The 24,367-nt window shown below is 37.8% G+C and overlaps 1 protein-coding gene across 6 annotated transcripts; it reads left to right on the plus strand.

The window, feature by feature from the left end:
* P2RY10 (P2Y receptor family member 10) lies at window positions 2,102-20,438 on the plus strand. Of its 6 annotated transcripts, none has more exons than NM_001324225.2 (4): window positions 2,102-2,206; window positions 2,429-2,507; window positions 4,526-4,574; window positions 17,219-20,438. In NM_001324225.2, exons 2-4 carry the CDS (start codon window positions 2,495-2,497, stop codon window positions 18,249-18,251), a joined length of 1,095 nt encoding a protein of 364 aa, NP_001311154.1. In that variant the 5' UTR covers window positions 2,102-2,206; window positions 2,429-2,494; the 3' UTR covers window positions 18,252-20,438. The 6 variants fall into 6 exon arrangements, with proteins under 6 accessions (NP_001311154.1, NP_055314.1, NP_001311150.1 ...); NM_014499.4 differs by lacking the exon at window positions 2,429-2,507 and adding an exon at window positions 8,904-9,046; NM_001324221.2 differs by lacking the exon at window positions 2,429-2,507.

Raw genomic sequence — 24,367 nt, forward strand, 5'->3', positions numbered from 1 at the left:
TCCCCAGCCTATGGAAGACATAATTCATCATTTAAAGTAAACTTTGATGACATACATAAGAATAAGGAAAGAATTTAGAACTATTGGTAAAATAGTACAACTGCACTACTTTTAAGAATCTTATAATTAGGGTACTTATTACTTTGTTTTAGTTTATAATGATTTGTAAACCATAAGTCGTACCTAGTAACAAAAAGACTTTCTTTTAAAAGTTAATTGGAGATGACTGTTAGGTTATCAGCTTGCTTTGTTTCTCCACAGATTTGTTCATTATAATTGTATTAGTTTGTTTTCATGCTGCTGATAAAGACATACCTGAGACTGGGAAGAAAAAGAGGTTTAATTGGACTTAACAGTCCCATATGGCTGGGGAGGCCTCAGAATCATGGTGGGAGGAAAAAGGCACTTGTTACATGGCAGTGGCAAGAGAAAATGAGAAAGATGCAAAAGCAGAAACCCCTTATAAAACCATCAGATTTCATGAGACTTATTAACTACCAGGAGAATAGTATGGAGGAAACTGGAGGAAACTGCCCCCATGATTCTAATGAACTGCCTTCAAGTCCCTCCCACAACACGTGGGAATTATGGGAGTACAATTCAAGATGAGATTTGGGAAGGGATACAGAGCCAAACCATATCAATAATTAACACTCAAAATTTACCTGAGTTAAAATTTTTCATTTGAATTGGGACACTGACTTCTGGTTTTATTTTTCTTCCCTTTTTAGGGTCAGTGACAGAAGAAGCTGCTTGCGTGCAAGACAGAAATGAAGTAAACTGGTAGGTTTCCTTCTCGCAATGTGAAGGTTTTGTCTGTGAAATAAAGTTGGGATGTGGTGATCATAGCCAGTTGTAAGAAAAGGATTTCTTGTATTTCTGGATCCCAGGGTTTGCCTTCAAAGCTCAACAGGTCTGGAATTTTTTTGTTTGTTCAGAGAAGAATCTTACCCTAGGAAAACTGGCTCACACTAACCATAGGGAGGAACACAACTGCCAAATGGACTGAGATGTGTGTTGGTCTGTCAGTGTATTCTCTTTTCAGTAGGGATGCCAATTCAGAAACCTAAATTAACAAAAGATAGGAGCTGAATAAACATTTGAAATCAAAATTAAGAAGGGGATTGAAAGGCTAAACTTGTTTCATTTGACATACATCAGCCAGGATGATGCCAGTCTTCACAAGTTATGACATTTCCATCAATCATCCCAAGCTCTTAGTTTCCAATACTGTCAGCTTCTCTTTCCCTTACACGCCAACAGGGGTTTGTGCTGCATTTTAAACCTCGTTTCTCAAAACTACTCTCAGACTTAGTTGACACTGTAGTCCTCAAGTGTATGATCTTCCTGTATTCACATAGTTTTGAAGGCCCCATATACACTGTACATAAAAACCAGAATTTTAGTACACTGGAGGGAGACCCCGTAATCAATAATGTTCATTTACTTATTCATGCATTCTTTGAGCATTTGTTTATTTATTAATTCCCATATGTATTCATTCAATAACAATTCATGAAAATGCCTTGTGCTGGACAAATTGGGAATACAGATATGAATCAGACATGATCTTTACCCTCAAGCAGTGTGCAGTCTAGTAAAGGGATAATAAATATACAAAAATAATGAAACTATGTGTTAAATTGTGAGCCTCAAGATGAAGGGGTTGGGAGAGGGGCACTCCAGATGGAGGGAACAACTTAAGCAAAGGTACTTCTACTGTTTCTAATTTTGACTTGTATTTTTTAGGTTTCCTCAGCCTTTGCCCCTCAGGCTTGCACAAGCTGTAGCTTTCTTGTTACTAGGTAAACACTCTTTAGATTTTCCTGAAAATTTCATCTTACCATGGAACCTACTGGAATCAGTGAAAATCTAGATATGTCGGTTGTCAAGGAAGGAGATAGGGTGAGGAAGGCTGTTATATAGCCATTGTGTGAGTATGCATAGCCTCTGACTCCCTGCTATTTGAATTTCTCTGCACCAATGAAATAAAAAGAAATAAAATTTGAGTAACGTCATTTGCTCAAGGGACTTACCTTTCATTTGTGCAAATAAGGTTTCTGTGGTGAGACACCAGATAAACTCAACTTCCTCTTTCAACAACAAATGTGTCAGTTATCAGCAGGATCCATGCCGCCAGAGTAAAGCTTTCTACCCTTTACTCCCTGCAAAGAAACAAGAGTGCTTATCCCAGCTAAGCTCCAGGGTAAGTTAATGCCTAGCACCTGGGGATTGGTGGTTTCATGTGGGAAGATTGGTGTGATCATAAAAATCAGAACAGAGGTGGATGTGGGGCCAGTGTCTGTATTAAAATTGTCACTGGTTTCTCATCTCAGACATCTTACAACAGGAGCAAAGATAATTACTGTTGAGTTTGACCAGAGTCCAAAGTTAACGTTAATGCCATCAGTCCTCTTCATTATGCCAGGAGCATGGAGTCTGTGATGCAGCTCACTCTTTGATGAGGGCTCTTTAGAGAGTGGGACCAGAGAAGATGGCACAAAGTGGTAAGAAGAGTATATTCAGTGAGACTCATTGGGACAACTTGACATATTCGGCCAATAAAAGTCAATTTAATTTTTTATGGTGTATAATTTATCTAGCTGCATCGTGAAGGAAGATTTTTGGGTATAAAATCCTTGCTTTGGAAAATTTAGCTTTCAGAGATACTGAGACAAATAGTAGAAAGCAGGGTAATAGATTCTGGGGGCTGAAAGGGCCCATAGAGATCCAAATCCCTCACAATACAGTCAGGAAAACTGAGAGCCAGTGAAGTGAAGACACTTAGGTTCACTCAGCTTGTTAGTGGTATAGGTGGATCTAGGACCTGTGTCTTTAAACTCATGTTTGCCTTTTCCTACAGCAGTTTGCATCTCCCAGAGAATACTGTAAATTTATTTGTGACCCTGCCATTTTTTAGGATAGGAAAGGAGAAAGTATCCCAGATGACTTCAGAGTCTGGTCAGAGTGGTTCCTTGATCCTTTGAAAGCTAATTTTGACCGAAGTTCAGCCTTACTGGATAGCAAAGCCCATGAGTGAGGCACTCATTTTTTCAGTTATTATTGCTATTACTCTGAATACTAGCACCTCTCTCCTTCTGAGCTAAGATGACTAAATCAAAAGGAGACTTTCAGCTAAGGAGTCCCTGAAGGGAGACTGTGCCAAATCATTTGGAACCAGGATAAGGCTGGATAGAATGATACCAGATTTGGCTGTGCTTTCCAGGGGAGTAGGCTCAGTTCCAAGAATCCTGCAAGTGAGAATATTTTTATTTCAGTTGTTCAAATGGATGTGTGGAGTCATTATGATGTATATTAATTGGAGAATCTATCTCTTAGCAATTGCAGCACAGTAAAATTAACCACTTATGAAAGTAGGTGATATGCAGATATACTGAGGTGGAAAATGGTGTAAACTACAGTCAGAATCAGATCACACATTTGGGGCAATTGTTTTTGCAATGGTTCCTGTTGAACACAGATTCTTTGGCCAAATGCAGTTTATTTTGGGGCTCAACTGGGAAAGTTGTAGAGTTCAAGTTGTACAGACTACTCAAATCTGAAGACATCAAATGAATAAACACATTTATGGGTTGTTTTGGTTTGAAATAAGTGAGTTGGGGTTTTAAAAGACAGGCCAGCCTGCTGGGCTTGGTGGCTCACGCTGTAATTCCAGCATTTTGGGAGGCCGAGACAGGTGGATCACCTGAGGTCAGGAGTTCGAGACCAGCCTGGTCAACATGGCGAAACCCCGTTTCTACTAAAAAATACAGAAATTAGCTGGTTGCAGTGGCAGGCGCCTGTAATCCCAGCTACTGGGCAAGCTGAGGCTGGAGAATCGCTCGAAACCGAGAGATGGAGGTTGCAGTGAGCTGAGACTGTGCCATTGCACTCCAGCCTGGGAGACAGACCAAGACTCTGGCTCAAAAAAAAAATAAAAAAAAGATAGGCTGCCTATCTATACTATAGCTCTCTGTCATGGCTCAAGCAAAGAGAACAAAGCTGTTTATAGTAAAATGAGACTTTCTAAAAGCACTAACAATCAGGGCAATGGTTCCCCGGTGGTCTATGATTTATTTTAAAAGCTTTTGGCAAAAAGGTTTATTTATTCTTCAGATCAGTATATTTTGTGGAGAAGTTTTCTCCTAGTATCAGTTCATATACATCACAGGTAGAGTGATCAAATAGATAGATCAATACATAAGGAGTCAGAAGTCTGTGTTATAGTTCAAGTTCTGCCAATGACTGGTGTGGCCTTCGGTGAGTTATTTCATTTCTGTGCATCTCAATAATCTCATCTATTATAATGGGAGAGGGCTTGGAATAGATGGTTCCTAATTTCCTTCCTAGCAATCCAATGATTTGAGTTAGACTGTTAGATACCTAAGAATAGTTAAATGTTATGGAGTGGTGAATAATGGGGCCATAATAGGGAAATCTATCTAGAGAGGACATTCTGGAAATGTAGTTCAGATCTCCAAGAGAACTGAGTATCCTTTCCCAATTGCCATTATATTTCTTTCAGGTAATGTTATCATGACAGCTTCAACTTTTAGACCACAGGCAAATGCTTTGTAAGTAATTTCCCTTTTTTAAAAATGAGAAAATGCAAGACAAAAGATAAAACTTTCTGAAATCTAATTTCCACAGTGACAATGACACTCAGTTGGCATTTCTCAATCTTTTAAACCCAAGGTTCCCTTTGAGAAACGTAAACATTTCACTACAAGGTTACTGTGAACTTGCCTTCCTAGGGACCAGACCCTGGACTTGTAGAAAAATCTGCTCCATCACATTGACATTTTCCAAGTACTAAGTGCCCAACAGTTAAGAGGATTTTGTAGATCTGTACTTTCACAGTTTGTATTGTAGAAACAATAATGACATTTTTTATTTTGTTTTCCAAATATATTTGTTATAATAAGGAATATGTTTTATCAAGTAACACTTATTTTCTACCCTTTAACTTTAAAAATTACTGCTCTAGATATTCTAGTCCTCTGCTACAACTACACTTCTTAGGGGATTTTCTAAATCCAGAAATGTACAGGATCCAACCAAAGGCCCTTGGAGATGACTCTGTGTACAAATAAAGAGGAAATGAACTCACATTTATTTAATACTTATTGGGTATCAGACATGAAAATAGGTACTTTTACACACATTTTCTTTTTTTCATTTCTATTTCAATATTTTTTGAACTACAAGTGTTTTTTTCTGTTGCATGGGTAAATTATATAGCAGTAAATTCTGAGATTTTTAGTGCACCCACCACCTCAGTAGTGCACGTTGTACCTAATGTGTAATATTTTTATGCCTAGCCTGTCTCACCCACCCTCTTCTGAGTCTCTAGATTCCATTATATCACTCTGTATACCTTTGCATAATCATAGCTTATCTGTCACTTATAAGTGAGAACATCTATTTTTTTTATTTTTCACTCCTGTGTTACTTTACTTAGAATAGTGGACTCCACCTCCATCCAAGTTACTGCAAAAATACATTATTGCGATCCTTTTTATGGCTGAGGAGTATTACATAGTGTATATACACCACATTTACTTTATCCACTCGTTAGTCAATTGGCACATAGATTCATTCCACATCTTTGCAATTGTGATTAGTAGGATTGCTGTATCAAATGGTAGATTTACTTGTAGCTCTTTAAGGAATCTCCATACTGTTTTCTATAGAAGTTGTACTAATTTACATTTCTACCAGCAGTGTAGAAGCTTTCTCTTTTATCCACATATCTACCAGCATCTATTTTTTTTTCACTTTTTAATAATAGCCATTCTTGCAGTAACGTGCTATTTTATTCTGGTTTTAATTTGCATTTCTCTGACGATTAGTGATGTGGAGCATTTTTTCGTGTTTGTTGGCCATTTGTATATCTTCTTTTGAGGAATCTCTATTTATGTCCTTTGCCCACTCTATAATGGGATTATTTCTCTTTCTATTGCTGACTTGTTTGAGTTCCTTGTAGATTCTAGTTTCTAGTCCTTTGTCAGATGCATAGTCTGCAAATATTTTCTCTCATTCTGTGGGTTGTCTGTTTACTCGGATTATTATTTTCAGACACATTTTTCTTTAATGCTCAAAACAAATTATGTGGCAGGAACCATTCTAATTTTACAAAAGAGGAAACTGAAGCCTGGTGATATGAAGTGAATTGTTTCAGGCCAGAGAACCGACAATTGAGACATGATATGATACCAGGTCTTCCAAAGAACATGATTATTTCCACCCATAAAATGCTGCCACAGCTGCAAAAATGATATCTAATTAGGCCGCCTTCCTAAATGATTGAAAGTCCAATACATATTCCTGCATGAAAGTTCAAATTCAAACTTTAAGTTGTTGTTTTGTTAATGGTCTAATTGCTTTAATTCATTTTAAGGATAAAAATAATTTTCACTTCCTCTAACAGAAGAAAATGTCTGTACTTGCAGAATGTGTCCAAATTTGTGTGTATCTCATGTCAACCAGGCTTATTTGGAGTTGATGTAGATTTATTCAGGAAACAGCAGAGTTTCCAATTCTAGCTGCTACTCTTTGGTTCTGGTTGTAAGCGGCTGAATGAAGAACACCGGGGTCATGGAGATCAGATTGGCTTGGATAATTCATGTGAAATTTAGTGGTTAAAAAATAAAAGAAAAAGGTAAGATGAGGCAAAGCAAGTTAAGTTCCCAGATGACATGTAAAAGTTATCCTCTAGAGAGTGGGAGGGGCCCCCATCAGCAACTTGTTTTCTCTGTTTAATTTTTTCTTCCCCTCCCAGGATGACAAGCCCACAGACAGGCTTCAGCATCAAATAAAATGGAGAAGTAAATTTGATAAACATGTTTACTTAGTGGTGCCAGTGACTTACTGATGAGTGGTGAAAAGACAGGGAAGATTGAGAGTGAAGATTTATGGAGTTGGTACCAGCTGCATAAATGGTGGCAGTGTCAATGGTGATGATATTAGTTAGGAGCAGGGTTCAGAGGGGGAATTCTCATGAAATCATACCAAATGAGAGCTAGAAGGGAGTTAAAGGTCATCTAGTTCAAATCATATTATTTTAATAATGAGGAAATGAAACTCACAGAAGGGAAAGAGCGTATCAGAGCAGCACAAAGAGTATATAAAATTACTGAAATCCAAGTATCTTAGCTACAAATCCAGTACACCTTTCTATATATTATACTGCTTTTGAGTCTTCTGTATCCTACAGCAAGTCTTGTCCTATTCAGATCACTCCTGTTGTAAAGAAATTGTTCCATTACTTCTATCTACAGATTTGTTATAATTTGAATTCATAAGCACAATTCCATAAAGAACGTTGGTTTTGATATAATCCTATCCTGACACCTGGTGGGCAGCAATTTGCCATATATGCATAGTGCATATGCATAAAACTGCTAGAACTAGAACCGAAAACAATAGCTTTTTTATCTCTGAGGAACAGTCTTATCCACAGAAATACCACTTTAAAATATGTTTCTGTCCATATAATAAGTTATTCAGCTAAAAATAACTTTAGCTTTCTGGGCTTATGAAAAGCCTTATTAAAGCTGAAATCATAACTCTGACTGCAGAAAGTCACTTACTCCTGCTGAGACTCCATTTTCTAATCTGTAAAGGAGTATAATAGTAATTAACTCAGAATTCTTACAAAGATTAGAGGTAACGTGAATAGCACTTAGCTAGTTACTGACAGGATGTGGAAATTTCCTCACTGGGACTTAGGAAACTAATATAAATTCTGATGCCATAATAATATAAGCTCAGTTTGGCTGTAACTTTGTGAAAACCACAACGTTGAGCTAGTTGGTTGGGAAGAGCAGCTGCTTTTGGGTAGATGGTATTAGTATCTAGTAAGATTTTGGGCTCAGCTCCAATGAATCATATTTAAAGACCTTCCATACCTTTGTATTCTGAGAAAACATTTAGTTGTTTCCACAAAATAAAGTTTTCAGTGATCAAATTCCTAATTAAGTTTAAGGGATTCCTGTTGGATTTCAAAACGAAAGCTGGATTGCCTTCTTTAAAGCTCTTAGGTGTTCAGATTTCTTAGACTAAAACCTTATTATTCTTGCTTTGACCACATTTTCTTCAGTAGCAGAAAGGAGAAAGATTATGGCTGTTGTTTAGGAGAGTGTTTCATGGGAGAGACTTTACAAGTAAAAATGCCTAATGCTCTGCTAATATGTGCCTATGCTCTGTAGTCTTACCTTCTCACAGTGCAGCCTATAAATTCAGTAGGTGTTCGAAGAAGAGGGGAGTGAGAGTAGGGTTGCCCGATGTAAGGAAAAAATGGGAGTTGAGATGCGATATTGAGACAGAAGTAAAATATTGACCTCTGAGTTGGGCTCCAGGTAAAAAAGGAATATGATGGAGTTTTAGTCATAACTTTGTGCGTGCCATTTTTATTATCAGGAACATCTTTAGAGCCATACTTTGATTTTTGTTTTTTTGCCCATATTTTCTTCAACTTTTATTTTAAGTTTAGGGGTACATGTGCAGGATGTGCAGGGTTGTGACATAGGTAAATGTGTGTCATGGTCGTTTGCTGCAAAGATCATCCCATCACCTAGTTATTAAGCCCAGCATCCATTAGCTATTCTTCCTGATGCTCTCTCTCACCCAACAGCTCCCAACAGACTCCAATGTTTCTTGTTTCTCACCATGTGTCCATGTGTTCCCATCATTCAGCTCCCACTTATAAGTGAGAACATGTGGTGTTTGGTTTTCCATTCCTGCATTAGATTGCTAAGGATAATGGCTTCCAACTCCATCCATGTCCCTGCAAAGGAAATGATCTCATTCTTTTTATGGCTGTATAGTATTTAGAGACACACTTTGTAAGTGAATCCTGTTATTTCAGAGATGGTGGCTGATTTTTCTGCTTTTCTTATTAGGTTAAAACTCTATGCTGGTCATTCCCTTCAGGATTTGGCACTCACCAACATACCCTTCTTTCAAGTGAAAAGGCATCTCTTTTAATGGTCCTGACCTTTGGAATAGGAAGCATGTACCCTGGACAGAGCACTTCAAACTAGAGGTACCAAGAGTAATTACTTCTGTAAGGCTGGCATTGGAGGCACTGGGAATTCTATTCTCACCTCTTTCTGGGTAATTCAAAGCCACAGAAGTACTGACTGAAGTGAGGTTGTGGGGACATGTATGCCACCTTGAAGTGCATTAAAGAATGGATATAAAGTGAGGAAAAGAAAAAAACTGGTGTAAACAACTATGGAGAGAAGGGCAGGAAGGCAACAAAGAGCTAGAATAAGGTGCGTAGACAAGAAAATTACTTTGGGAGTTGGAGAGACTTGATGAAAAAGCTCTAGCTGAGAGTGTAGAAAACCATGATTTTCTAGGAGTGAAAGGGAACAATCAATGAAAGAGAATCCTGAGGGAGGTTAGAAGAGTGTGATAATTCATCTTGAGCAGCAGGAAGGACAGCTGTGTTGGGAAGTAAGAAGAGTGCTGCTATAAATAAAATTATGCGTGTTAGAAAAGGACAATAGATGAAGTTGATTTCTTCTCACCTAATAATCTCAATTTACTCTTTGAGCTGAGGGCTAAAACAAATAGTCTTCCGAGAAAAGTGGTGGATGGGGAGCAGGAGAGAGAGGAAGAAGCTTTAGCAGAATAGAAAAGGGGCTGATTAGCCACCATGGGAATAGGAGAAGATACTAATCAGGTTCATGCAAAAAGAGGGTAGAGGAAAATAATTTTAGACTGGAGATCATTAATTTCCATTTGTGCCATTTCAAATACACACTAGTATTTCAACAGGATAATTGAGCCATTTGGATAGTAAGAAAGAAAACCTGTTGTGGACTTAACCTGCGATTAGGGCCTTGCCAGGCTGGTGTAGCAGGAGAATGGAGAACAAAGAAGTTGTGTATTCTTGTGTAAGAGTGGATAATTTGGCCAACTATTTAATCTGGGTTAGACACAGGAGGAAATAAGATGAGGGAGGATGCTATGTGAGACTAGGAGAAATGGAAGCATTTAGATATTGAAGGTTTCTGGAAATGTATGGTGCAAGTTAGTATAGTGCAATTTGTAGTGAAGCTCAGTCATTATGTTAGAGAAAGAAAACCATTTGAAGAGTTAGGAATTGATGAGGGTTGGCAGATAGTACAAAATTGAAAAATACTGGAATAAGAAATAGGTTAATGGATTCAGATTATCAGCAGAAGTGAATGCTGTTAGTTGCTGCATATGAAGTTGCTTTGGAAAAGTGCAAAACTGCGATACCTTTTTTATATCATTTCATGTTTTATAAATGAAATCATCTTTGACTCCTCAAGCAGTCTTCAAAATTGCTCAATTCCATATCTGACTTTTACTTTAAATTCTAATCTAATAGGGTGACCAACTATTCCCTTTGCTTTGGACTGTCACAGGTTTAGCACTGAAAATACTATGTCCCAAAAAACCCTCAGTCACAGGCAAACCTCAACTGTTGGTCTTCCTACATACTCCCAAAGTGATTTGGATTCCCTGTGTCCCATTTCTTCAATTCATCTTCCACATGGTTGCCAGCGTGACCTTTCTATTTTTTATGTATTCATTTTTAAAGTATTATTTATTTTTGAGATGGGGTCTTGCTCTATCACCCAGGCTGGAGTGTAGTGGTGCAATCTCAACTCACTGCAACATCTGTCTCCCCGGCTCAAGCGATCCTCCCACCTCAGCCTCCTGAGTGGCTGGGACCACATAGGCGTGCCACCGCACCCAGCTAATTTTTTTGTTTTATATTTTTTTGTAGAGATGAGGTTTCACCATGTTACCGAGGCTGGTCTTAAACTCTTGAGCTCAAGCGATCCACCCACCTGGGCATCCCAATGTGCTGGGTTTACAGGTGTGAGCCACCACACCTGGCCAGCAGCCTGATCTTTCTAAAACACAAGTATGATGATATCGCATCTCTTCACAGAATCCTTTGATGATTCATCATGAAGTGCATTAAAAATATTTCATTAAAAATCTTTCATGACCCGGTAACTTCTACCTTTATAGTCTCTTTTCCCTTTCACTACCTTCCTTCAATCATACCTCCCATTTCACCCTCCCCACCATGTTATCCTATTCACCAGGTGGGATAGAATTATTATTTTTCCTTTAGATATATCATTCATTTTTATACTTTGGAAACCTTGGATGTTATTTATCCATCCCTGGAAACCTTTCCGATCTTTTCTTCTCCAAAATCCTGCCCATTCCCAAAACTGCTTATTAAAAAATTGACTTCCAATCTTTCCATTCTATGCAGGCTTTATTTCTGCTTCCACAGAAATGTCTTTGTTACCTCTTTCATGAAATGTTTCTGAAATCCGTTATGGTTAGTTACTTATGGCTATCACATGTGACTGTAAACTTATTGAAGGCAACAACCATGGATTATTTTTCTCTGGAATTTCCCATTCCACTCCATCATCCTTTGCAATTAGCATATAGGACACCCACATAGCAGAATGTCTACTTGGATGAAATCACAAACTGTTAAGATTCAGATGAATTATACTAATAATAACCAGTAAAAACGGTCATGCTTATGGAGAATTTTTGAAGAGATCAACTTGACCTCACCTTTGAAAGGTCACTAGGATTTAAAGAGAACAATCGATAATTCAGACAAAGTGAGGTTAACTTTAAGTTTATCTCTTCCCCAGCCACCCTCTTTATTTTTCTCTCCATCAGCGGCAGAAAACGGGGACGGGGTGGAGAGAAAAATAAAGATGGTGATGAGGTAAGAGATAAAGTTAAAGTTTACCTCACATTTCCTAAAGTATCCATTGTTCTATTTAAATCCTATATGTTATCTTTAGCAGCTAAAATAGTACTGGTATCTCTCCTAATTAATTCACAGGAATGATGCTGTGCCAACACTGAGGGATTCTCATCACCTGTGCCATTCACTTCAATTGTTGCTATTCACTGATTGTGATGTTAGAGATTTTTAAATGTTACCCCTATGGGGACCATAGGCTCTTGGCCCTCTCAAGGTTGCTACAAAATCACTGGCATGAGGCAGATTGATTAACATGAGATAAGGAATTACAATTTATTTAAAGTATATACACATGAGCCTTCAGAATGAAGACTCAATTTCCCAATAGGTAAGAAAAGCTTATATACCATCTTGAAATTACAGAATAAATGTGAACTCAGAGTATGTTCAAAAACAGTTTTTGGTGGCAAGACAAGTTATTGGAGAAAGGAAGTAAGAGGCTTGGTAACAGAGTTGGCCTTGTTATAGATGAAACCTATGTCAGAGAGAACAGATGGTAAATGTTTCTTTTCCAACTTTTAAAGATGTCAGGCTCAATCTCTCCTGGATCTGAGAAAAGCATAGAATGGGGAGGCATGGCTACATTCATGGAGATTCTTTGCAAATGCAAATTTTCCCCACCTCAGTCTGTGAGCCCTGAGGCAATGATCTCAAAATATTTTAAAGAAATATATTTTAGGGTAAAATATTTTTATTTCCTTCACCTTTAAAAGATAGGAAGTTTCTCAGGGACACAGATCGTTGTGGATGATTCTATATTCTCCATAGAACCTAGCAAATAGCTCATAGGATGGGGCTTATTGAATATATACTGATTGAGTGTGGGCTTTAAAGCAGCCAAAGTCCTCAAAAAGCCATGGAAAAGGAAATAGAGTTATTTCCCTTTATGTTTTCTTTTCAAATGCAGAGAGCTTTAGTGATTACAGACGCAGCCTCCTCACTCCCATGTGTAGGTGGATAACAAGTCATTTTCTGATTTCCTTCACAGAATGACAACCAAGAAAAATAAAAGGTTGAGATAACTTTGAAAGCAAATCATGAAGCTGTCCTTTTCTTGAGGTCCAGATAATAGTATTGATGGTACCCTGAGACCTTGGACTGTGCTAGTTTCTACCCATAGGATATGTCTGACCACCTGTGATTTCTAAATTGATTTCTTTTCTCTTTTCTCAGGTCTCTACAGGTATTGCTTTTCTGAGGTGAAAAGGATAGGTGCAGGGAATATTGATAGGAGAAGCCCAAGTCAGAAGACAACATTTTAGGGAAATAGTCGGCATCAGAAATGTACTAGTTGATATATCAAGGTTTTTAATTTATGCTTAATACTTCTAAACAGAAACTTTGAACTATTGTTTAAGCAGTTCAGTTCAATTATACTTTTTATATGTTCTTTGAATGCTTACTAGGCTAGGTCCTGGCTATATGGTGATGAAAAAAGGAGATCTTTTTGTGGCACTGATGGACTTAAGAGCACAGTGAGGGTAATAACCAACAAACAAATTAAAAAAAAAAACCCTAAATTACAAATGTTGATGCTAAAAAGAGAAAGAACAGAGAGTGTGAGAGTGTGTAATGATGTATAGGATTACCTAGATCGAGTGAGTGGTTAAGGTCTCTTAGACCCACAGATTGAGATTAAAAGGAACCAGAGATGTGAATTTTGTGACCTCAGCACCACTTATTTAACCTCTTTGAGCCTCAATTTTCTCATCTGCAATGTGGAAATAATCACAGGACTCCTGTGAGGATGGATGACATAATGAATAAAGTGTTTAGCCTGTAAATAAAAGGCAGCCCTAAATAAGTGGTAGCCATACTTAATGTTAATGTTAGACATGGTATGGAGAATGAACTTTAGGGGAAGGACTGGAATGTAAACAGTTTAGTAAGGGAGCTGTTGCAATAGCCAATAGGGTTGATGACAGCAGCCTGGATTAGGATGGTGACAGTAGAGGTGGAGATAGGTTAGAGAGGATTTTACATGGAAGGAAGAATTACCTGGGTTTTCTGGGTTTTTATTGTCTATGGGAGGAAATATAGTGGCAAAGGTCAGAATTACTCCCTAATTTCTAGCTTGAGTGTCTGGGAGGGGAGTCAGGTCACTGACTGAAAAGGGAAGCACAGATTCAGGAATGAATCACCAATCCCACATCCCTATGAGACAGGAACCAAGAATATGTCCAGATTGGAGGGGAGAGAAATTGGCAACACAAAGGGAGCAAACTGCCCACAAGTAGGCAACAATAGAGCCAGACTCATAGATAGAGGAAGAGAAAGACACACACACACACACACACACACACACACAGAGAGAGAGAGAGAGAGAGAGAGAGAGAGAGGGATGGGGTGAGGGAACAGAGAGAAGGAATATACTCTGATTTTAGTCCTTCCATCCAGGATTTTCTTGTTAGTGGCTTCTTAGCTTCTCCTTTCTTATATTTCAGAAATGACACAATTGTCCATAGCAAGCTAAGTGTTCCCTCTAAGAGAGTCTATGTTTCTGCTCAACCCCAAATAAATACCTTCTGCCTCTCCTCATCACGGGGATTTTACATCTAATGGTCACTAAGAAGATTTGGGGGAAAAAAAGCCCTTCTTACCTTCCCTTCAGTCTGAAGCAAAAAAGAGGTTTTTGGAAACAAGCCATGCAAATCTCTACGCTCACAATGAACTGTGAATTGCAGAAGCATAAGAACCCACATTTAAAAAATAAAAAAGGTGTAAACTTGACCTCTAGCTTGCTGTTCTGGCATAATTGGGCTCTGTTATTTAACAGGGAGGTGTGAACAGAACATGCCCATTTTGTAAGTGAAACTTTCTGCACCAGTGAAGCTAAAACAAATAGCCATTTCTTTTAAGTGCAAAAGTGGAAGTGTGACTGCAGGAGAGTAAGGTTATGAACAATTCTTAGTTATTGAAATTGTAATGCACTGATGGATCTTTCTTTGCTCTCTCACTGCCTGTGTGTGGACAATAGTTGATAGTAGAAGCAGTGCCAACACTAAAATCAAAGTAGGTGGTAGGGTGGGAACAGTGTGGCATAAGTAGGGACAGGTGTTTACTTCTATTCTGATTGTCCAACTAGACGAATTCTAGTGTTATATAAGTTCCTACTATGGGATTAGAATGGTTCTGCCACAATGTGCTCTTCACATGTCACAGTGAAATCGAAATAATGTCTTTTGTAGCAACGTGGATGGAGCTGGAGGCCATTATTCTAAGTGAAGTAACACAGGAGTAGAAAACCAAAAACCAGGTATTCTCACTTATAAGTGGGAGCTAAGCTATGAGCATGCAAAGGCATGTGGAGTGATAGTTAAGACAGCCAAATTCTACTAAGTAGTCTCTCCTAGTCAGGGAGAGGAAAGTGGCATAGTGGAAATACCACACGCTTCAGAGCAAGCCAGGAATGATAGTAAATCCTATCTTTACCATTTTCTAGCTTTGCTACTTAAGGCAATTTACTGAATGCCTCTGAAGCTCAGTTTTTTCATCTAGATCATAGGGTGATAATAGTTCTTACATCTTAGGACAGTTGTGAAAATTAAATTAAATAAATACACCTGAAAACTTCCATTACAGATTTTGGGATACATCCTTGATCGTCACCACATGATAATTATTTCCTGCCTTTCCATTTGTGAGAGTCCCTTCCACCCTCCATTCTAAGTAACACATACATAAGCAAGATGACTGCATGACTGTTTAAGATGTATCACAAATAAGAGGGCAAATAGGGAGATGGAATAGAATGGGGGAAAGCAAAAGTTTTATTTACAGTAACAGCAGCTCATAACAGCCACACTCTTTTATCTGTGAATTCATCACTTGAGGCTCTGTTTTTGTTAGCACAGCTCTATTTCCTGGAGCAGGACTTAATATGACAGGAAGCCATTCTGCTACTCATGAGGAGAATCTAAAACCAGGTTACTTCTTTGCTTTTTGTAAACTTACTTTAAACAAAACAAAAAAAAAAACAATAAACAACAGAAACCCTTCCCCATCTGAGAAACAACCTCAGTACATTGTTTTTTTTCCACTTCTAGCTCGAAATACAGTAAACATTCCTGCAATATGCACAGAAGGTATGCTTGTGAACTTTGTCATGGGGAGAAAAACAAAGATGAGGAGAAGGGTGTGCATGGAAGCAAGGTCCCTTGTCCTCCCATTTCGAGTCTCAGATCTTCCATTAATAGCTGTGTGGCCATAATAAACTCCTCTCTCTGGGCCTTGCTTCTATCTATATTATGTGGAGAGTGAATTTGATGATTTCCAAAGGTCCTTCCCAGTCTGAAATTCTACAAGATAGTTAAAGCAAAATGAGGAATCTGTTGCTCTCCTACCATTCTTATCTGCAGGCAATCAGCATAATTCCATGCCTAGCCTCTGATAATCTCTAAAGATTACTCTACTCTCTCTATACCTTAATATAACACATAATAAAAACCATACTAAATCATAAAATATGATTAAGGAAGTCCAAAAAAGAAGGAATCTCTTCATAATGATTACTTTAATGAATAAAGAAAGCATTACATTTTAAACTGTCTTCAAAAATGGTTTCAGTGGCCCTGTTTTGCTAGTGCCCAAAGCATTGCTAGTGCCCACAAGCATTGCTAGTGCCCAAAGTATTGTGACTGTTGGATAATATGCCATGTGAATGTTGCCACACCAATACAGGATTCTACTTAGAGGTAGAATTGGTCTTTTCCCCTCCAAGATTATATGAAGGAAAATACTCTATTTTAGCTTCTAAATTCATGTATTATTAAAGCTTTTTATGTAAATTTGGATACCCAAGCCTAGGGAGAGAGACAAACTGCAGGATAACCTAGAGTCACAAGTTATTATGATAGAATAATGAGGCCACATTCTCAGGTCTTGAAGATCAGCCGGGACACTGACAATGCAGGCTTAAGGAGGCAGGACAATTTTTCAAGTGATGGGGTTCCAAGATAAGAAGCCAGGACCCAAAGAGCAAAATGGCAGACAAAGGACAGGGATGGGAACCTAAAAAGTGAGGCTAAATTTCTACTACTGCAATTAGGAGTGAGCAGTATTTATTCTAACCAGGGCTTTGGACAAGACAAATTTGGAGTCAAAATAAATATAATCGAATTCTATGCTGTTTTTGCTGTGGTCAGAATAAAAGATTTAACATTTCAAGACATCTTAGCCTGCAAAATACAACTTAGAGAATCTGGGGTGGAGGGTGCAGTTGTGGGACAATTTTATGGTTCCTTAACTGTTACATTGGGTGACTTTGGATCAGTACTATATTTTCCTTGAGCCTCTAATTCTTTATATGTAAACATGTCTCTTCTAATTCTAATAGTCTGTGCCTCTGTAAGTATAAAAGAGAGATCTAGGTGTTAACTAAAGAACTAATTAACCATTTTACTCTTTATTTTGTTTTACTTTGGGCAGGAACCATAAATCCATGGCTAACCTTGACAAATACACTGAAACATTCAAGATGGGTAGCAACAGTACCAGCACTGCTGAGATTTACTGTAATGTCACTAATGTGAAATTTCAATACTCCCTCTATGCAACCACCTATATCCTCATATTCATTCCTGGTCTTCTGGCTAACAGTGCAGCCTTGTGGGTTCTGTGCCGCTTCATCAGCAAGAAAAATAAAGCCATCATTTTCATGATCAACCTCTCTGTGGCTGACCTTGCTCATGTATTATCTTTACCCCTCCGGATTTACTATTACATCAGCCACCACTGGCCTTTCCAGAGAGCCCTTTGCCTGCTCTGCTTCTACCTGAAGTATCTCAACATGTATGCCAGCATTTGTTTCCTGACGTGCATCAGTCTTCAAAGGTGCTTTTTTCTCCTCAAGCCCTTCAGGGCCAGAGACTGGAAGCGTAGGTACGATGTGGGCATCAGTGCTGCCATCTGGATCGTTGTGGGGACTGCCTGTTTGCCATTTCCCATCCTGAGAAGCACAGACTTAAACAACAACAAGTCCTGCTTTGCTGATCTTGGATACAAGCAAATGAATGCAGTTGCGTTGGTCGGGATGATTACAGTTGCTGAGCTTGCAGGATTTGTGATCCCAGTGATCATCATCGCATGGTGTACCTGGAAAACTACTATATCCTTGAGACAGCCACCAATGGCTTTCCAAGGGATCAGTGAGAGGCAGAAAGCACTGCGGATGGTGTTCATGTGTGCTGCAGTCTTCTTCATCTGCTTCACTCCCTATCATATTAACTTTATTTTTTACACCATGGTAAAGGAAACCATCATTAGCAGTTGTCCCGTTGTCCGAATCGCACTGTATTTCCACCCTTTTTGCCTGTGCCTTGCAAGTCTCTGCTGCCTTTTGGATCCAATTCTTTATTACTTTATGGCTTCAGAGTTTCGTGACCAACTATCCCGCCATGGCAGTTCTGTGACCCGCTCCCGCCTCATGAGCAAGGAGAGTGGTTCATCAATGATTGGCTAAAATTAAGATATCTCTTTAATTACGCCTTTGTTTACCTACGTTCCTTGTCTTTTTCCAAAGGCCAGAATTGTCAACCAATTTCTTTAATTGAACATTGTAAAAAACAGGAATAAGTACTTTTGTGTAATATTCACAGTCAACAGGGGTGTGATGGTGAAGGCAGAGTGTGAAAAACGTGAGAGAGGAAGAGAAAATAGATTTACCTGATTCCTCTTTAAAATTCAAGCCACTTTCTTATTTAAGAAACCTAGATCAAGTTTTTACAGATGTAAATAAAAGTTGAATAGTTTACCTTAAATTTTTTTCAATAAGTAAGTTATTGTTAATAATGCACAGTAAATATGTGAATTTTTCCTAGATGTAAAAAAAAAAATCTTTCATATAAAGACCTTAAATTCTGAGTGAGAGTAAAAATGTCTAATCTTTCTAACAGGTAAATTTTTCTAACAGGCAAGACAGTGTGAAGAATTGAAGCAATATGTGCATAAATTTCAGGACCACAAGCCTGTTATTAAAGAAAAGGCATGGAAATTCATTCATTCCTTGAAAATGTGTTGAGTGCCTATTGTGTTCTTGGTTGTCACTTTGTTAGGTACTTTCTTTTTTTTTCATAAGTTATTGGGGTACAGGTGGTATTTGGTTACATGAGTAAGTTCTTTAGTGGTGATTTGTGAGATTTTGGTGCAGCCATCACCCGAGCAGTATACACTGCACCACATTTGTAGTCTTCTATCCCTCGCCCCCTTCCCACTCTTCCACACATAACATCTCATCTTGCCCTCCTAATAAACCTGTGGAAGTTGCCGATACAAATGAATAAATGGAACTTCAGAGAGGTTAAGCAATTTGCCTCAGGATCAACAGTGGTTAGCCAAAATTGGTCCAGTATAATACACCATATATGCTTATGTTATTCCCTTGCTTTTGTTGTTACATTTATTAGGTCTATACTAAATTAGCCTTCAATGATGAAGACAGACTAAAGCTAAGCCACATGAGATCAAGGCCATTTCAACATGGTTTGCCTGGAATTCTCCAAAAAACCTGTGGGTTGTGGGTTTGGCATGTCAAGCTTCAGACCACAAGGTCTTAAGTGGTAAATAGATGCGTTGTCCTAATACTGTTCCAAGGTAGAGAATCCTGATGATAAGGAGTATAGGAAACTCAAATAGTTCATTATTTCTAAAAAATGTATATTTTAAGGCATGATACAAGTCCTACAAACCTCATAAGTAGGTGAAAAAAAAAACCCTGTGGAGTGATAAACATTCTATAAAACCTGGAAATTTGTGTGGAGTTCGCCTAAGCTCACTTTTCCTAAATATAGCTATATAATATTGTAAACAAATTTGTTTTTTAGAAACTTTTAAGAAGATTTCTGTGAGCGTAATTGACAATATCTGCATTAGAAACAGAAAGTATTATCCATCATAAATATGAGAAAAGTGTGTGTCCTCTTTCTGACAATCTTTTTATCTTATTTTTTTCAAACGTTGTGGTTGTTGTTTCAGCACCATTTTAAAGAATTTGAATACAAACAATCCCTCAGCTTATCAGGTTGACATTTATGAAGCTGACCTCATCACTCTTTATCTTTTATGTCTGCAGTATAAATAGCATAGACATTTGGTGTGAAGGGAGGAGAAAGGAAGTAGTAGTTCTGAGAATATTCATTTGAACAGAGTGACTATGGAAGAATGAATAGCAAAAAAAGGAGAATTTTTTTAAAAAGATCTCTCACTGGGAAAAGAAAAAGTTATGCATTTATAAAGTAATTAAACTGGTTTTCCTTGTACTTTATTAATCTGAATCTAATGGCACTTCCTTACGAGGGTTTTCAGATGTGCTTGTAGTTAATGGCAACATTATCAGAATGACTACACAGACAGTCCTACTCTGAGGAGATGACTTTGGAAGAAACCCATTTGGAACTACACACCCTGCTATGTCTGTGGAGAAATGGAACTGCAATCCTCAAGAGTCACACTTCATATTCCTTCCTTTCAAGTGGTTGATAAAAGGTAGTGCTTCAAGCACAGGATTTATGGAATAGTTGGCAAATTAAACAACATGCTTTTTATTTTGACTACCATTTAAGTGGAATCTTTGAACTTTTTTTTTGACATGTGAATCTCTAATGTGGTGAGAGAGAAAAACATAAAAATATAAAAACATTCAAGCAATCGACTATTGGTTCTTTCATTTTAAAGGGGATATCTTACATAATGTCAAAGGAAAATGTGACAGTGCTTCAGCTGATGGCAGAGCAGTGCAAGAAATCGTGAAATTGCTTTAAGGTATTACAATAAACAACAATTTTAACAGTTATTCCTATGCTTGTCACAGGCACACAATTTGAGACAAACAAGACATCAAAACATACATCCTTGAATTAGTTTTTCAAAAAGTCAACACTAAAGCTAAACATTCCCCCCGAATCTCTGCAAGGCACTTACCAAAATCCACATAGAACCCATTCAGTATCTCATAACACTGATGAAAGACTGTTTAAACTTCTGAGAGTTTTGGCAAAAATGGGAAGGAATTTAGCAAAAATGGGAGAAATATAACCTTTGCAACAATTTATATGACCTTAAATGCCATTTATGCATGACTGGATATGCTGTTTCTCCTTACATTTTAAAATAACTTAAAGAGTGTTATCGGTTAGCTGGACGTGGTGGTGCGCACCTGTAATCCCAGCTACTTGGGAGGTCGAGGCAGGAGAATCACTTGAACTCGGGAGATGGAGGTTGCAGTGAGCTGAGATTGTGTCACTGACTGCACTTCAGCCTGGGTGACAGAGCAGAAAAAAAAAAAGGAGTGTTATTGGATTGTTTGTAACTCAAAGGATAAATGCTTGAGGGTATGGATTCCCTATTCTCAATGCTGTGCTTATTTCACATTGCATGTCTGTATCAAAACACCTCATAAACCCCATAAATATATACACCTACTATGTACCCACAAAAATAAAAATACAAAAGCTTTAAATACTACCACAGAGTATAGGTATAACATTTGCCACTGATCAAATGAATTACCCTTATAAAATATGTGTTCTGAAGACTGTACAAGTAGTACCAGCTTCTGCTTCCTGCGAGGCCCTCAGGAAGCTTATAACTATAATGGAAGGCGAATGGAGAGCAGGCATGTCACATGGTGAGAGAGGGAGCAAGAGAGAGTGAAGAAAAAGTGCCACACTCTTTTAAACAAACATCTTGCATGAAATGAGTGAGAACTCACTCATTACCTTGAAGACAGAACCAAGTCATTCATGAGGGATCTGCTCCCATGAACAAAACACCTACCCGTAGGCCCACCTACACCATTAGGGGTCACATTTCAGCCTGAGTTTTAAGGAGGATAAAACATTTAAACCATATCAGCAATAAATATAGAGGAAGAGTAAGCCTTCTTATTGGAAACCCTTCTGTGTTAAGGGTGGAAAGAGAAAAAAAGCTAAGGAGTGCCTAGTACTGAATATGATAGCTTGGCTAGAAATACAGAAAGGAGCAGTAATTAACAAGGCTGTAAAAGTTAGAAATTAAGAATATAGAGGACCTTGAATGTCAGGTATATAATTTGTACTTTTCTGTGGTGAAGTGAGCCAAGATGGATCATAAAGTTTGTGGAGATAAAAAAAGCTTATACAGATCTTGAGAAACAATATGACATAATAACAGGGGCAAAAGCCTGTTGGCAAGTAAACACTATTGTTTACTCATTCATTCTGAGATTTGGACTATCTAGATTAATTTCACAGACAGACACATGAATAATAAGAAACATACAACAGGAATAGCTATGATTTATTCAATCCAACCATGTGAGGAGAACTTTATATGGGTCTTCATATTTCATTTCTTTCTTTCTTTCTTCTTCTTCTTCTTTCTTCTTTCTTTCTTTCTTTCTTTCCTTCTTTCTTTCTGCCTTTCTTTCTTTCTCCCTTCCTTCCTTCCCTTCCTCCCTCCCTCTCTCTTTTCTTTCTTTCTTTCTTTCTTTCTTTCTTTCTTTCTTTCTTTCTTTCTTTCTTTCTGTCTTTCTGTCTTTCTTTCTTTCTCCCTTCCTTCCTTCCCTTCCTCCCTCCCTTCCTCTCTCTCTCTTTCTTTTTTCTTTTCTCCTTCCTTCCTTCTTTCCTTCTTTCCTTCTTTCCTTCCTTTCTTTCCTTCCTTCCTTCCTTCTTTCCTTCTTTCCTTCCTTTCTTTCCTTTCTTTCTTTCTTTCTTTCTTTCTTTCTTTCTTTCTTTCTTTCTTTCTTTCTCTTTCTTTTTTCTTTCTTTTCTTTCTTTTCCTTTCTTTCTTTCTTTCTTTCTTTCTTTCTTTCTTTCTTTCTTTCTTTCTTTCTTTCTTTCTTTCTTTTCTTTCTTTCTTGTCAGAGTCTTGCTCTGTCACCCATGCTGGAGGCTGGAGTGCAGTAGCACGATCTCGTCTCACTACAACTTCTGCCACCCAGGCTCAAGCAATTCTCCTGCCTCAGACTCCCAAGCAGCTGGAAATACAGGCAAGTGCCACCACACCTGGCTACATTTTGAAATTTTCAGTAGAGACCGGGTTTCACTATGTTGACCAGGCTGGTCTCGAACTCCTGAACTCAGGTGATCTGCCCACCTCGGCCTCCCAAAGTACTGGAATTACAGGCAAGGGCCACCACACCCGGCCAGATCATCATACTGATTTTTTAAAAACAACCCCATGAGGTGGATACAATAATTAACCCCACTTTCCAGATGAAAAACAAGTACAGATAGTTTAAGTAACTTGTTCGAGAATATACAGCTAATAAATGACAAGGTCAGGATTTTTTTTTTTTTTCGCAGTCTCACTCTGTTGCCCAGGCTGAAGTGCAGTGGCATGATTTGGCTCACTGCAACCTCCGCCTCCCGGGGTCAAGCTATTCTTGTGCCTCAGCCTCCCAAGCAGCTGGGATTATAGGCGCCTGCCACAACTCCTGACTAATTTTTGTATTTTTAATAAAGACAGGGTTTCACCATGTTGGCCAAGCTGGTCTCGAACTCCTGACCTCAGGTGATCCACCTGCCTTGGCCTCCCAAAGTGCTGGAATTACAGGTGTGAGCCCCCGTGCCTGGCCAAGGTCAGGATTTTTAACTCTAAAAATTGGAATTCAGAACTCATATGTTTAACATTGTATTACTGGCCTATGTATTACTATAATACAATGAATTTCATGGGAAATGTTCATACTTTTAAGATGCTCTTCCCTTGTATCGAAAATAACTATACAATTAAAATGTTGTGATACTTGTATTTTTTTATATTTTCCAACATTCTGAATCTTTTAAAAATATACACAACTATAACTTGTCAATTTACAATAATTTTTTAAAATAAACTAAAAATTCTGAACTCTCATTTTATTACACTCCTCTTTATAAATGCTTATTTTAATCTCTTGCATCACTGCAAAGTTGAGGATAAATGTGAATAAATATATTATAGTATGGATGCCCTCAGCCATAAGTACACACATTTGTATTTATAAAAACTAGAAAAATACATTGAAATGTTAAAATTTGTAACTTTTGAGAGACCTGATTATAGATAATTATTATTTTCTACTTTAAAATTTTCTGTTTTTTTCAAAACGTAAGCATACTATTTTTAATCAGAAAATGGTAAATATTATAAAGCGTGAGTAGTCAATAAGGTAAATAGAGAAAAACTACAATTGCTTCAGAACAAATAAAGGTTTTTGGATACATTTAAAAATCCAACAAGGCAGAAGAGATTGTTCGTGCACATTAAATTACACAAAATGGGAGTGTATGTTTTGCAACATCCATGAAATGTTTATAAAAGTTGATTATATACTAGGTAATAAAGGCTCAGATGCAAAAAGCAGGAATTACGCATATGACATTACATAATCAAAATTAGAATTAGGCCAAAAATGTAAATATTAGAAAATAAAAAAGGACACAGAATAACCAACATGAGATAAAACTTGTAAAATGCTATGACAGATCTAATGCCAATGAATTTGAAAATCTAATTGAAATGGATGGTTTTCTGTTTCAAAGAATTATAAAAATAAAGCAAGAATAGAAAACTTGAATAATTGACTACATAAGAATTTTTCTTTTGAGTTACAGTCTA

The sequence above is a fragment of the Homo sapiens genome, chromosome X (genome assembly GCF_000001405.40).
Source record: "Homo sapiens chromosome X, GRCh38.p14 Primary Assembly".
In the NCBI taxonomy this organism is placed as follows: domain Eukaryota; kingdom Metazoa; phylum Chordata; class Mammalia; order Primates; family Hominidae; genus Homo; species Homo sapiens.

Excerpts from the sequence above, each read along its gene's own strand:
- P2RY10 (NM_001324225.2), top strand. Across the intron at positions 4,575-17,218 it reads AGACCACAGGCAAATGCTTT|GAACCATAAATCCATGGCTA; the intron begins GTAAGTAATTTC and ends TACTTTGGGCAG.